The following is a 14,762-nucleotide window of genomic DNA, read 5'->3' as shown; positions in this document are numbered from 1 at the left end:
TTTATAGAATGAATAAATGAAACCTTCTCTGTAAATATGAGGAATGAGGATTTCATAGCTGATTTTGATTTTCATCTTTATCCTTTTTTTACTGTTGGGAAAATTAACAAATAGCAATACTAGGAACTTTTGTACATTACCGCATTAAACTTACAGAAGTCTGTTAGCTAGGTATTTTTAACCAGATGGGAAATTGAGGGTCCAGCAGGTTAACCTGTGTTGCCAAGGTTATCCTGGCAGAACTAGGATTCCAGCCCATTTTGTCTCTATTGTGCTTGACCTCTTCGAATAAACTAAAATGTGGTTTCCACCATTAGTTAATAGGCATTTAGCTTTATTTGTATCAAAAGCTATGGCTTAGCCAAAAGATTTACTGTTTTATTATTGAGATATATTTTCAGTAATCGTTAATAGTTACATCATAAGCCAGATACTCCCAGGCTGCAGTAAGCTGTAATTTTCTTTTTTCTTTTCTTTTTTTGAGACGTAGTCTCACGCTGTCGCCCAGGCTGGAGTACAGTGGCGCGATCTCGGCTCACTGCAAACTCCGCCTCCCGGGTTCATGCCATTCTCCTGCCTCAGCCTCCCGGGTGGCTGGGACTACAGGCGCCCGTCACCACGACCGGCTAATTTTTTGTATTTTTAGTAGAGACGGGGTTTCACCGTGTTAGCCAGGGTGGTCTCGATCTCCTGACCTTGTGATCTGCCCACCTCGGCCTCCCAAAGTGCTGGGATTACAGGCGTGAGCCACCGCGCCCTGCCCGTAAGCTTAATTTTCACCGTCTTGCTGGGCATTGTTGTGAGGTTATCTCCATTTTTCAGGTGAAGAATTGGAAAACGAGGTTTAGGAACTTGCCTAAGGTCACCAGTAAATTGCTGAGCTAGATTTTTTAATAGTCTGACTTCAATTCTCGCCCCACTAATTAGATGTTAACTCATGATAGAATCCAGTGATACAAATATTAAAACCATCTGAGATTGGGCTGTAAACTTTCTGGTGCTGATATCAAGTGTCTAGATGTACTGTTTTCAGAATCCCTGAGACTCTTACTGCCATTGATTTTTGTGCTTGGGTTTATGGTTTGTGGGCCTGATAGACTGGGGACTTTTAATACAGAAGGAAAGGAAATCCTCCTTTCATCTAAATCTAAAGAGAAATCTGATTTGTTTTACCCATTGTGGTAAATGAACCCTGAACAGTAATGCTTTATACCTCTTAAAGAAAGCGCTGGAAAGCCAGCTAGTTCCTCTGTTCTCTAATGCAGAGTAGAGAGTTAGAAACTGCTACTAATTCCAAAAGCTCCTGCAGTAGGCTTTCAGTAAAACAACTACATTTCAACTCTCTACTCTTACGCTGACACTGAGGGTGAGAAGTTGGGGAAGAGTGGCATGGGTACCACCTAAGGGGCTCATGGCAAAACAGAGGATGGGGAAGGAATTAGTGATTCCTTCTTTCTTCCACTTCATTCCAGTTTGGGTGCTGGTGTAACATTTCCCCCTGCATAAGAGTCTGGATAATGCAGTTTTATTTATAATGTGCTTCTCGGCAGTACTGTATTTTCCTATTTGTTAATTCTATTTCAGTAGTACTCCAGGGAGGGTTGGAGAACCCTGCAACCTAGAATGCCTGAGGAAGAGATTGAGGTGTAGGATACCAGGGAAGATGGAAACTGTTAGGTGGAAAAAGTCTTCCATGCATAATTGAGAGTTGTTTATGGTTCTCTGCACATTCCTTTCCTGTCTAAATTTACACATTCATCAGCTTTCTGGCCCCTTCTGGAATTTTTTTTTTTTGACTTTCCAATTACTACTGTTCAGATCACCTTCAGGCTCACCCTAACTCTTGTCTCAGTGTCTCTCACATTGGTCCTTTCCTGGAGGCCCTGCAGCATCTTAGTTCAGGGTCTTAGGGACTTATGCACTCTGTCCTAACATTGTCTACAGGTGGGTTTTCCTACCTCTGTCTCTGTTTTTTCCATGGTCAGGTAAATTATTTAAGCACTGTCATTATGTTGTTAAAAATTCTTGGGTGGCTTACATAGTGAATAATAACATTAATAACAGTAGTAATAGGTGCTGAACTTGTATGTGCCGGGTGCTGTCAGAAGTTCCTGTACATGCATTATTGCATTTAATCCTCAGGGCAATATCAAAGCAGGCATTGTTATTATATCTCCAGTCTCCAGATGAGGCTAGGAAAAGTTAAGTTCACAACTGCTTTGCAACTAACATATGGTGGATCTCAGACTCAATCCCCAAGTTATTTTCTCTACTTATTTGCATATAGATTCCTTAGCCTAAAGTCACGATCCAGCAGACTGGGCTCAGCTTTGGCCTCATCCTATCATTCCCCACCCCTGTGAGCTGGTAGTCTGAGTTTTATTAATCAACAAAGCGTTTTGCCTTTGTCCATGCACTCCTGTTGCCTAGAAAGCTCTCTGTTCTCTCCGTGTGAAAACCTAAGTCTTTCAAAGCTGAACTCATAAACTGCTTTTGTCAGCATAATCTCTCTAAACCCAATTTCCCAGATCATTTGTTTTTTTAAAATATGAGAAACTTCCCAGTTCAGTTTCTGATCACAAACTCTGTTGCTGATGTCCTTCCTTCCTTCAGCACTTCTTACCTTTTATCTTCCCCTATTCCTCTCACCCTGTTGCCTCCTGTGCTAGTAATGTATTCAAACTTATTGCCTCCCTTACTAGATTTTAAATGCCTTGAAGGCAGGGTGAGTGTGTATTCCTTAGGTTTCTATTCCTCACATCACTAAACATGGTGTCCTATCTATAGTAACTGCTCAATTGAAAAAAGTATTAATTATATTTGCTTAAATTTTGTTAGAGTATTCTGTGAAAAGTTAATTGGAATGTGACATTTTGTTTTCTAGTTTTCTGATTTGTTTTGATCCACAGTATTTTATCATTTTATGATGAAACAACGAATATGCCATCATCATTTTATGATGAAGCAATAGAATATGCCATCATCATTTTATGTCGAAGTAACAGAATTCCTTGTTAAGTCCATGAAAAGCACCTGTTCTGGTTGCTCTCATCTTTGGACCAAGGAGATATTGCAAGGAGATCTCAAATTCACACATGTAGTAATCATTGTCTGTAGAATAAATATTTTGCCTATGTTATGTACTATTTTTTCATATCTACGGTAATGCTGTTACTAAAAATGTACTAAAATTGTTATGGAATTCAAATGGAATTTTTGTGAATATTTTATGGATCAATGAATATTTCACATTTTAAAGCAGATTTGAAAGACCCTTTCTGAATTGGCTCCTGCTTCCCTGTCTAGACTCATAGCTCACCACTCACCATTGAGACACAATTCACATATTATACAAGTCATCCGTTTAAAGGTACAAAATTTAATGGATTTTAGTATATTCAGAGTTGTGCAACCATCACCATAATTTTAAAACATTTATCACCCTCTAAAAAAGTTTGCACCCATTACCAGTCATTCCCCATACTGCCCGTCCATTCCCCTAATCCCCACCCACTAATTTACTTTATGCCTGTATGGATTTGCCTATTCTAGACATTTCATATAAGGGGAGTCATATAGTATGTGGCCTTTCGTGTCTGGCTTCTTTCACCTAGTATGTTGTTTTCAAGGTTAATTTCTGTTGTAGCATGTATCAGTACTTCATTCCTTTTTATTGCCTAGTAATACCCCATTGTATGTATATACCACGGTTTTATTTATCTATTTGCTAGCTGACGGGACTGGCATTTCTAAAAAAGTTTGATTCTAATGTGACCCTAATGTGTAGTCCAGAAGTTCCTTTGGGCCCTGTTCGCTGTTTTATCTTGGGGCTAGAACAGAACCTGGCACAAGATAGATGCGTAATAAACATTCAGATGACTGCAGCATTTTACTAAAAGTGTAACTCCTATTATGTTGCAGTCAGCAAAATGTGTTGTCGTTAAAAAGAGGTCCTCATAGTTGATGGTTTACCTACTGATTTGAACAAACGAACTGTTAAAAAGAGTCAAGGAACTTTGAACATGGCTGCAATGCTACAGTTTTTAGGATTTGCTTTGAAATAATCTGGGGGTGAGGAGGGAGTACAGAGGAAACAAGGCTGTCCGTGAGCTGACGATCGTTGAAACTGGGTGATGAATTCTCTATCTGTGCTGTCTGCCAGGCAGCCGTTGGTCGCATGTGGCTATTCAGCCTTTAAAATGTGGCTAGTCCTTACTGAGAAGCGCCGTAGGATAACACATACACTGAGTTTCAAAGATTTAGTATGAAAAATAATGTAAAAATACCTCAATTTTTAAACATCACGTGTTGAAATGATAATATTTTGAATATATTGTAATACTGTGTAATTAAAACTAACTTGTTTTCTTTTACTCTTTGTCTACTTAAGAAATTAAAATTACATCTATGGCTCCTATTACATTTCAGCTGGGCAGTGCAGTGCTATACTTTTGTACATGTTTGAAATTTTTCATCATAAAAAGTTTAGAAATATCAAAGTCATCTTTTTTAAAGTCTGGAGTATAATATTTTTTATAAAGGATTCCTCTGGTATGAAAGGATTGGGAAATATTGATTTTTTTCAAAGATGCTTCTTTGCAGAAGCTTGTGCAGGCAGGCTGTAGCCTTCCAATATCATTCCTGGGCTTATTTAAGCTATGTGAACATTTAAAAATTCTTTTATAATAATAAATGGAATAGCAGTGTGAAGAATTGCTTCTTTAGTTATTAATCTAAATGATTTTGTTTTGAAGTTGGTGATATATTTCCTTCATCTTGGAAAAATACAGAAGACTCACTGGTAATTTCCTTGTTCTTAGCCACATTGTTTGTACCCCTGAAATTGAATTTTCTCTGGACTTGGTTTATAACTGCCTCTACCTAAGTCTGTTGTTTGAGAGCCAGAATATGGTTGTTTCTAGATGCTCCAAGACCCCTTGAGTATGAGTGGAATATGATTCTTAGGGAATAATAATAATATTGTGTGGGTTTAAAGCCAAGAAGCAAATTTCTTTCATAAAAGTTTCTTTAGATGAAAATTATGTTGCTGTCTATATGTCTGTGTTTACTTATGAAAAAAATATCTGAGGTAATCAGCCCAGTTCTCTGAGTGGGTGTGGGCTGGATGAACAATCTTAGTGGAATTTTCATCTGTGATTTCTGAGATTGTGTGAGAGTAGATCTGAGTTAAAAAAATAGCTTAAATGTAAAGCAGAGCAGAATCAAATTGCAATGAGCAATCCAGTGTGGGATTGGCAGAGGATCTCTGACAGTTACTATAACTAAAGTTTGCTATTTTGTTTACCCTCTACAGTTAAAATACTAAAATCTTTATTTTTAGTATTGTGTGGGTCAGATACTTTCCTCAATGTAACATTTCTCCAAATATGTATTAAAATGTAGTACTTGTAAAGATTCCCACACTGGTTTCCTGTCTTGATATCAAATATTGTAATAGTTACAAGAACTTTAAAATTATAGTTTACATCTTATAAAACAAATATTTCTCCCTCCCCAAGTAATTTGTGGTGGACAGTCATCTGAAATGTTTAGAAGCTAAAGCTAATATATATATTTTAATCTACATATATGTATATATATGTGTGTGTATATTTATGTATGTATATATTTTTTAATCTCAGCAACTCTTATTAAATTTGAAGTAGATGCCTCCCTAGAATTAAAGCATGCGCTAAGATTTTTGCTCATACGTTTCACAAATATTTATTAAGCACATGCCATGTGCCAGACACCAGGCTGGGTGCAGGGGATGTGGCGATGAATTGAACAGATGTGGAACCTCCCTTCAAGGAGCTTACAGACTAGAAGGGGATATAGACATTAAAGAGTTGCAGAGAATTCATTAATTACAGTGGGGAGATGTGGCTCAAAGGGAATGAGTCTGGCTTTTAATTGGGACCCTGGAGAGAAAGGTTCCATTTTTCTGTAGGTTGTGATTCAGGTTGCTGAAGGAAGAGAAAAGAGAATGTGGCTGGGGAATCCTCAAAGGAGGATGAGATGAGCAGAGTCCTGCCCTTTTGTGTCTTTCTGCCATTGCTGGAGGCCATGTAGAACTGAGTGGGAGGAGGCCTTAACTCCTCTTTTGATTTGAGGTTTTGAATTTCTCTCTCTGATGCGACACACAGGTTTGTTTATTTGCTAATGGGAGTTGAATCCAAAGTTGAGTTTTTAACACCTTTATAGCAGAAACGCAATGATATCTAGCAACCTGTCCTCCAGCATAGCCCTGCATGTAGCTTAAAATAACTTGCTGGCTAGATTCTAGTGTAGCTTAGTTGTCTGGCATCTGAGGCAAAGTGGGTTAGGGGTATGTGAAGCCTAAAAGAATACAGGGAAGCCCACTTGGGTTTTTCTCAGGTGTAGGGCTGCTTCATGCAAATTCCTGGCATATATAGAATTAACTGAGGTTTCCTTCGGAGCTTGTTGGAGCTATTAGGGAATGGGAAACCATCCTTCCTTTGAAGGTGGAGGTAATTATGAATAACAGTGATAACAGTGGCAGCCAGTAGCTGTTGGGCGCTCTCCATGTGCCAGGCTAAGTGCTTTACTTACGCTACCTCGTTAGATCTTATCACTTAGGAAGTGGTTACTATCATTCCAGTTTATCACTGATAAAACAGAGGCTAGCGAGCAGTCACTTGCTGTTTGGTTTTTCCAACATCCCTTTACCCTTCCTGATTTCCATTTGAGAAGTCACTTCTTGCCTTTGGATATAGTCTGCTGGGACCAGAAGGAGGGGCCCCATTCCCCTCAGCTGTGGCCCTGTGAGCCAGGTCAGTCACATGCCTCTCTCTGGACTCTGGGTGTGGGAGGGTCATGGAGAGTCTGCTGCGAGATGTGTCATGGCCAGACCATCTGTGCATACAGCTTTGTTGTGGTGTAGCTTTCCATTCCACGGAGCTGTGCCCGGGCTTGCCTCTCCAGCCTCCTCTTAGTTCCTTGAACTGATTTGTTTTCTAATACATTTTCTTTGGCTTCATTTACCAAATTGTTTTCTGTTGCTTCCACCCAAAGAACCCTGGTTATCCAGGCTTAGAGAGGGCGAAGTAGTTTTCCTATGATCACGCACACAGCAAGTGGCAGAACTGGGGTACAGTCAGGTCTTTCGGCCTCTATTGCCAAGCCCTTGATTAGAGACCCCCTCTGTGTGCTGAACAGCACTGGACTGGCAGTCCGAGGATCAGAGGATGGATGTAGTTCCTGTGGTACCTGCCTCTGGGGCCTTGGGCCACTGCCTCTTTGAGCTGGACAGGGTAGACAGGATGAAATCTATACATAACTAGGTGACACCCAGTTTGAGAGGATTTTCTTGTCCATGAGACTTTTGGACACATTTTGCCCCGGTTTTCTAAAGGCTTTTACTTTGAGGTTTGAGGAACGGTCTGAAGCAGTGGTTTTCAAAGTGTGACTCCAGGAGATGTATCAGTGTCATCTAGGAACTTGTTAGCAGAACTTGGGTGGGGCCCAAACCCATGGAATTGGAAACTCTGGGGGTGGAGTCCAGAAAACTGGTTTTAACCCTTCAGGTGATTATGATGCACACTAACGTTTTAAGCCCCAGACATTTTCGTTTTATTAAAAACAATTTATTATGTACAAGGTGCTACCTAGAAGTAGGGAGCAGGCAAATGTTAATTAGCCACAGCCCCGACCTCAAAGAATATTCACTTCAGTTCGGGATATATATGTTTATAGCACTCCTCCTTCTCTCTACAATTGTGTTTTTTATATCTATCTATCTGTATCTATATCTCTATATATTGATCCATCTTTTCTCTACTTATATAAACAAGATATTAAAGTGCTATAGGAGCTCAGGAGGAGTGAGGGAGATGCTTTTGCAGAGAAGTTGAGTGTTTGAGACACATCTTGAAGGGCACATGGGATTGAGATAAAGAAAGGGATGAAGGGGCTGAGTGCGATGGCTCACGCCTATAATCCCAGCACTTTGAGAGACTGAGGCAGGCAGATCACCTGAGGTCAGGAGTTCGAGACCAGCCTGGCCGCGTGGTGAAACCAAGTCTCTACTAAAAATACAAAAATTAGCTGGGCATGATGGTGGGCACCTGTAATCTCAGCTACTCGGAGGCTGAGGCAGAAGAATCGCTTGAACCGGGGAGGTGGAGGTTGCAGTCAGCCAAGATGGTGCCACTGCACTCCCTAGACGACAAGAGCGAGACACCGTCTCAAAAAAAAAAAAAAAAAAAAAAAGAAAGGGACGAAGGGAAAGGTAGGAAGGACATTCTAGGCAGAAGTGGTAGGTTAGCTAGGATGAAACAAGGCATGACATTTTAAGAGTTGGTGGACTATCCGGTTTGATGAAGAGAAGGACTGTGTAATGGGAAAAGTAAATGGAGAGGTAGATTAGGGCCCAAGTGGTATAAGTCCTAAATCCCATAGTAACTCCAAAGACTATGCTGTAAACAGTGAACAAGGAGGTGACACGGTAAGAGCTATCTTAGCAGAAAGTGTTTTGGTGGTGACAGAGAAGGGCAGAGGCTGGGAGTATAGGCACAAAGTGATGAGACCTGAACTGGGATGGTCACAGTGAGAGGAGAAAAAAGACAAATAATATCAAAATACTGGAAAGTTAGAATGATAGCCCCTAGGAACTAGGGGTTGGGAGTAGGGTTGAGGGAGAAGGCAAAGATGATTCCACAAGGGATAATAAATGGTGTTGGTAAAATCAGGCAAAAAATAAAATAAATTCCACATGGATCAAAACTTTAAAACAAATAGAAATACAAAAAAATACAATACACTTTTAATAATAAGATGAAAAATCCTTTCTAGATAGGACACAAAATCCAGATGCTATAAAATAAAAGATTGATTTATTGATTACATATCATTTTTGCGGGGTCAATTTTTAAAAACTATGTCAAAAGGCAATCAACACATTTAGGAAAATAATTGCAATGCATATCACAAAGACCTACTTTTATCAATATATAAAGAACTCCAACAAATCAGTACGAGAAAGGCCAGTTACTGTAAAGGCAAAGAGTTTGAACACATAGTTCACGAAATGGCATACAGATGACTCATAAACATATGAAAACTTTAACTTCACTCATAAAAAGAGAAAATGCAAATGAAAACTTCATTGAGATGCTATTTTTCACCTATCGGGTTGGCAGACATCACAAAATGTGGTAACAGTGTTGGCAAAGTTTTGAAGAAACAGGTATTCATACATCGTGGATGGAAATGTAAATCGGTCCAAACTGTAGCGAGCCATTGGCAGTATCTGTCAAAATTGGAAATGCATGCACTCTTTGAATCAGCAATAACAGTCCTAAGAACTTTATCCTACAGATATGCAAAATTCACAAAATGATATATATGCAAAATTGTTTCTTGGAGTATTTGAATAAATACCAGATTGCAAGTAACTTAATTTTCATCAGTAAGTACTAATTAAAAATAATAGAGCCGTTAAAAATGAGGCAGCTCTACATTTTCTGATATGGAATGATATGTGAGATTTATTGTGAAGTTAAGAAAAAAGTGAAGTATAGAATATCCATATATAATATATATTTTATATGAAAGTATGCATATACACATGGACATATATTCATGCATATATGCACACATGGATAAAATTGGTGGGCTGAGGCTGGCGCCGTGGCTCACACCTGTAATCCTAGCACTTTGGGAGGCCGAGGTGGGCGAATCACCTGAGGTCAGGAGTTCAAGACTAGCCTGGCCAACATGGTGAAACCCTGTCTGTACTAAAAATAAAAAAATTAGCTGGGCGTGGTGGTGTGTGCCTGTAATCCCGGCTACGCAGGAGGTGGAGGCAGGAGAATCGCTGGAACCCGGGAGGCAGTGGCTGCAGTGAGCCAAGATCACGCCACTGCACTCCAGTCTGGGTGACAGAGGGAGACTCCGACTCAAAAAAAACAAAAAAACTGGTGTGCTGAAGCCAGTTTACACCGGCATGTGGGAACCAACTGTGCGTGACTTCCCAAGCCCTTGGCTGATTACTTCATGTTGGTAGTTTGAAGCCAGCCACAGTGGGAGTATTTACACCATGGAAATCAGGAAACATAACACATGAGGACATTTTTGTTTTTGTTTTTCCAGAGAGCTGGTTGATAAACATTTAATTGTACTCACTGTATATATAAAAATATAAAATATCTTTTGAAGATTATACAAGAGGTTGCTATAACATCAGACTGTCCTAGGAAGGGGTAACGGAAGGCAGGATAGGTGTGAAGTTGAAATTATACCTTTTGAATATTATTCCAAGTAAATGTATTACTCCAAGTAAATATATAAAGCAAACCAAAAAGTAACTGCAGAGTTTCAGGCGTATGTGACTGTGTTATTTATGGTGCCATTGACTACTGCTGGGGAAAATAGGAAGATGAGTAGATCTTAGAGAAAGAGAGTGCTTTTGGTTTTGAATATGCTGAGCTTGAAGTGTATGGGTGGTATCAGCACAGACATGTCCAGCAACAGTGCAAGAGAGAGGGCAGAGCTGTTGATCAGTTCTGGGAGTCAGCAGTTTAGTTAAAATTGTGACAGTTAAGGGGGCCTTTACCTATAGAACCTTTGGGGCAGGTCCCAGGAGAGAAAGGGGGAAGCCTGTAGTACCTTGGGGAAGGTAAGCCAAGAGGTAGGTAGGGGAAGGGTAACTAGTCACAAAGATTGGAGGACCATAAAATAATAATAATGGTAGTTTCTTAATGAAGTATTTGCTGGAAGTGAGACACTATTCTCTGTACTTTTTGAAAGAACATCACCTGATTTAATTCTCACAATCATTCTCTGGGGTGGGTACTTTTTCCATGATAACCGTTGAGTTGGGGAGGGTAATGTCAAAGAATAAACCAGGAGAGATCTCATGGGAAGGGTGTTAATAGAGCAGGACCTTGAAGTGTCCTGGTACAATTTCAAAAGGTAGAGAAATGGGAGAGAAGGACATTTCAGGTAGAGGGGAGTGATGAGCAAAGGTGAAAACAGTGTTATCCCTTGCAGCTGTAGGGTAAGAATTCATGGGAACCCAAGGGTGGTGCATGGCTACTTCATCCTCTGGCCATTGGAGAGCCACAGAATGTTTTGAGCAAGGGAATATGTGTTAATCAGTTCAACTGGTAGTCAAATACAAAAATTAAATGTTGTATGATTGGAAGATTTCTGTGTGTACACTGTGGGAAGGAGGGATGATAGGAAACAGGAAAAATTACCATAAAAATTTGAGATAATGTAGATGACCTGTGAATACAGATTTAGAGTGTCTGCAAACAGGCATTGTGATGGCTCATGCAAATTCAGTCTCTTAAGCTGAATTTGCCTGTGTGGCAGTGTATTGCTTATCTTATGTATTAGTCACTTAGGGGATGTTTTTCATATATTTTCCAGAAGACTGTGAATGGGGAATAAGCAAAGTGGCGGTAAATAAAAAAATGATTATTTGTTGACATAAATTTGTATGTATGTGATTTATATATGAATTTTGCCTGGGAAATAATGATCAGCCTCATGAGGCACAACAAGCCCAGCCTCTTTAGAGAGGCGTTGTGTTTGTACTAGCAGTTCTTTTACCTTATAAACATACATATACACAAACATAGTGTAAAACTCCACCCTAATTAGGTTTTCAGCTCAGTCTTTCTCTGGGCCAGTGTCTTCTTTAATTTTGTTTTGTGTGTGTGTCATTAAGGAATGATACCAATAATAGGGTGTCAAAAAGGAAAGACTTTGGCCTAAACATGGCTCAGAAAAAGGACTGCCTGGCCTTCTTCATGCACACCTGCCAATGCATCATACTTCTGACTTGTAATTCCTGTTTTTCTAGTCTTTGATCGCGTGGGGCAAAATAACATTCCAGCTTGTTTGTTACTTTGAGTTCTGCATCATTTGTTCCTTGATTAAGGGCCTGGAAGCCCCACTTGTTTGTGGCATCCAGAGGTCTTATTTTCCTGGGTGTGTGTAGCTAGGTGTAGATAGATCTTTATATTAGATGACTGCCTTTTCTGACCCACAGATAAGACACCTTTGTCTGACAGATGCTAGGGGTCAGAAGGACAGGATGTGGGAGTTTGGTTTCTTTTGTAAAATGTGCAGTGTGTGGTCTCCGCAGGTGCTGGATTTCTCTTCGCGGCTAAGAACTTCCCAGTCTGGGGAAAATACCCATGTTGTAGGAAGCGAGATCTGTGGGTCTTGCTGTAGCTAGTTAACTCAGGCTGAGGTTTAGCAAGTCATGGACCTCCCACATCCTTTTAACAGTACTGTTTCTCCTCTCTCTCAGATGACTTGTGTGAGACTTAGCCAGGTGTCAATGGATGTGAAGGGGGTTTGGAGGAAACAAGGGCAAGACAACATTCTGGCTGGACAGGGAGCCAGCTGGAGGGGTGGGGCCACATGAATGGGACACACCCTTGAGGGAAGTGGTTCTAAACCTCAGCAGTGTCAGAGTGTCCTGGAGGGACTGGTAAAACACTTGAGTTGAGTCCGTCGCAGTGGCTAATGCCTGTAATCCCAACACTTTGGGAGGCTGAGGTGGGAGGATTGCTTGAGGTTAGGAGTTCAAAACCAGCCTGGTTAGAATACTGAGACTCAGTCTCCACAAAAACAAACAAATTAATTATTTAATAAAACAGATTGCTGGGCCCCACCCCCACAGTTTCTGATTTAGTGGGTTTCTGATTTAATGGGACCTGAGATTCTACAATTCTAATAAGTTATTAGGAGATACTGACTCTGGTTCATGGACCCCTTAGCAAATCCAAGCATTGGTTCAGCAGGCAGAAGACCAAGTCTTAACCAGCCTGGAGTCCATTCTGATTCCGAGAAGAACCAGAGAATTCTGGTTATCATTAGATTGTCATAACCCCCTTATTTTATATAACACTTCCACATTTGTAAATCACTTTAATATATGTTTCTTCTCACAACAAAATAACCCTGTGAGGTAGGCAGGGGATTTATTAACCTTGTTGGACGACTAAGGAAAATAAGATTGAAGACAGATGACTGACTTACCCTAGGGGCAAAAATAGTTGAGCTCATACTTATATCTAGATTTTCTTACTGTAGATTTATTGCTCCTTCTACATTGTCTTTTTTCCTTGGAAAATACTACATTTTATTCAAATGATTTTGAGACAAAACAAAATTAGGGAGATGTAGAATCCTTTCGCTCATGCATTAACAGTAAATATTTTTTGAAGACATAATACAGAGCACATACTTATTGTTGAATAAATGAATGAATGGTTTCCATAACTTCCCTAACTACTTCTGAACTCATGCACTTTAGTGGCCCAGTAGTCTCAATTACAAATAATAAGAAAAGCACAATAATTAATTAATACAACATGCCTATTAAAAATACTTCCCAAAACATTGCCTTTAAAGCTAGTAAAAAGCTTAGAGATCATCTGCTTAGGTATTGCTCAATGTTTGTCCAACTTTACTTATTTTAATCACAGCCCCCAACACAAAACAACTTTTAAGTTTAGAATAGTTTTAGAGGTAGAGAAAAGATGTGAAGATAGTACAAAAAATTCCCATATGCCCCAAGTGGTTTTCCCATTGTCAATATCTTACCTTAGTATACTTTTGTCACAATTAATAGACCAGTACTGTTGCAGTATTAATAACTAAAATCTATACTTCATTCAGATTTCCTTAGCTTTTCCTTAGTGTCCTTTTGCCGTTCCAGGACTCCATGTGGGGTTCTACATTATCTTGGTTGCCATGTCTCCTTAGATTCCTCTTGGCTGTAATAGTTTCTCAGGCTTTCCTTGTGTTTGATGACCTCGAGAGCTTTGAGGAGTAGTGGTAAAGTATTTTGTAGAGTATGTCTCCACTGGGATTTGTCTGATGATTTTCTTGTATTGGACTGGGGTTATGGGTTTTGGGGAAGAAGATTACAGAGGTAAAATGCCATTCTCATTACATCATATCAAGAGTATATGTTAGCAGCATGATTTATAGTTTTGGTTATGTTGACCTTGCTCATCTGGTTGAGGTAGTGTTTGTCAGGCTTCTCTACCATATGGTTATTTTTTCTTCGCCTTTCCATACTATACTCTTTGGAAGTAAGTTATTATGCACAGCTCATACTTAAGGAGTGGGGAGTTACACTGCACTTCCTTGAGGGTGGTGTAGCTACATAAATTATTTGACATTCTTCTGTGAGTCGGATTTGTTTCTTCTTCTCCATTTGTTTATTCAATCAGTTTTTTTTAATCAGTGTGGATCCATTGATATTTATTATATACTTTGGATTATAATTTAGTAGTACTTTATTTTGTTTCTGAAGTTCGTCCAGCTTTAGCTATTAGGAGTGCTTTCGGTTGGCTCCTGTATCCCTTTGATGTAAGTCCATCCTTGTGGATTTTTTTTTAGCATGTCCTTTCTTTTCGGCACTACAAGGTACTCAGGCTAATCTTGTATAGTCCTTGTCCCTCCTCTAGAATCATTTTTTTGCATGGGTGATATTGGTCTTGATCCACTAAATTGATTTCATCACCCACTACATGGTTTACTACCCACGGTGAAAAACACTAATCTGTTTCCACTCCTCACATGTTAAAGATAAGAAAATAGACACCTCAAAAGGTGAAATGGTTTATCTAAGGTTACGCCTCTTTGGTAGCAAATCCCAGGCTAGGCCCAGGTCCTCTGAACTTGTAGTCCTGCCCCTTTTTTACCACTCCATGCTATGCTGGCAGATTCCACCACTCAGAGTCTGGTTCAGTGTACTCCCATCTCACCCA

General features: G+C 39.7%; 1 protein-coding gene across 22 annotated transcripts in view, besides 2 other annotated features; it reads left to right on the top strand.

Moving 5' to 3' along the window:
• The window catches only part of OSBPL3 (oxysterol binding protein like 3), a 185,309-nt gene that overhangs the window by 3,509 nt on the left and 167,038 nt on the right, over nt 1-14,762 (top strand). The window lies entirely within an intron of this gene.
• Nucleotides 6,326-6,981: an enhancer, noted in NCBI's record as "H3K27ac-H3K4me1 hESC enhancer chr7:25010975-25011630 (GRCh37/hg19 assembly coordinates)". NCBI's record gives its function as "activates a minimal SCP1, AML or CMV promoter by ChIP-STARR-seq in naive H9 embryonic stem cells {active_cell/tissue: H9 hESC(naive)}" and the evidence as "EXISTENCE:reporter gene assay evidence [ECO:0000049][PMID:30033119]".
• Nucleotides 12,001-12,160: an enhancer, noted in NCBI's record as "active region_25761". NCBI's record gives its function as "activates an Ori minimal core promoter by ATAC-STARR-seq in GM12878 lymphoblastoid cells {active_cell/tissue: GM12878}" and the evidence as "EXISTENCE:reporter gene assay evidence [ECO:0000049][PMID:35858748]".

This window comes from Homo sapiens, chromosome 7 (assembly GCF_000001405.40).
Source record: "Homo sapiens chromosome 7, GRCh38.p14 Primary Assembly".
Classification (NCBI taxonomy): domain Eukaryota; kingdom Metazoa; phylum Chordata; class Mammalia; order Primates; family Hominidae; genus Homo; species Homo sapiens.
The sequence above is the reverse complement of the archived record's forward strand: the minus strand, read 5'-3'. Positions and strand labels throughout refer to the sequence as shown.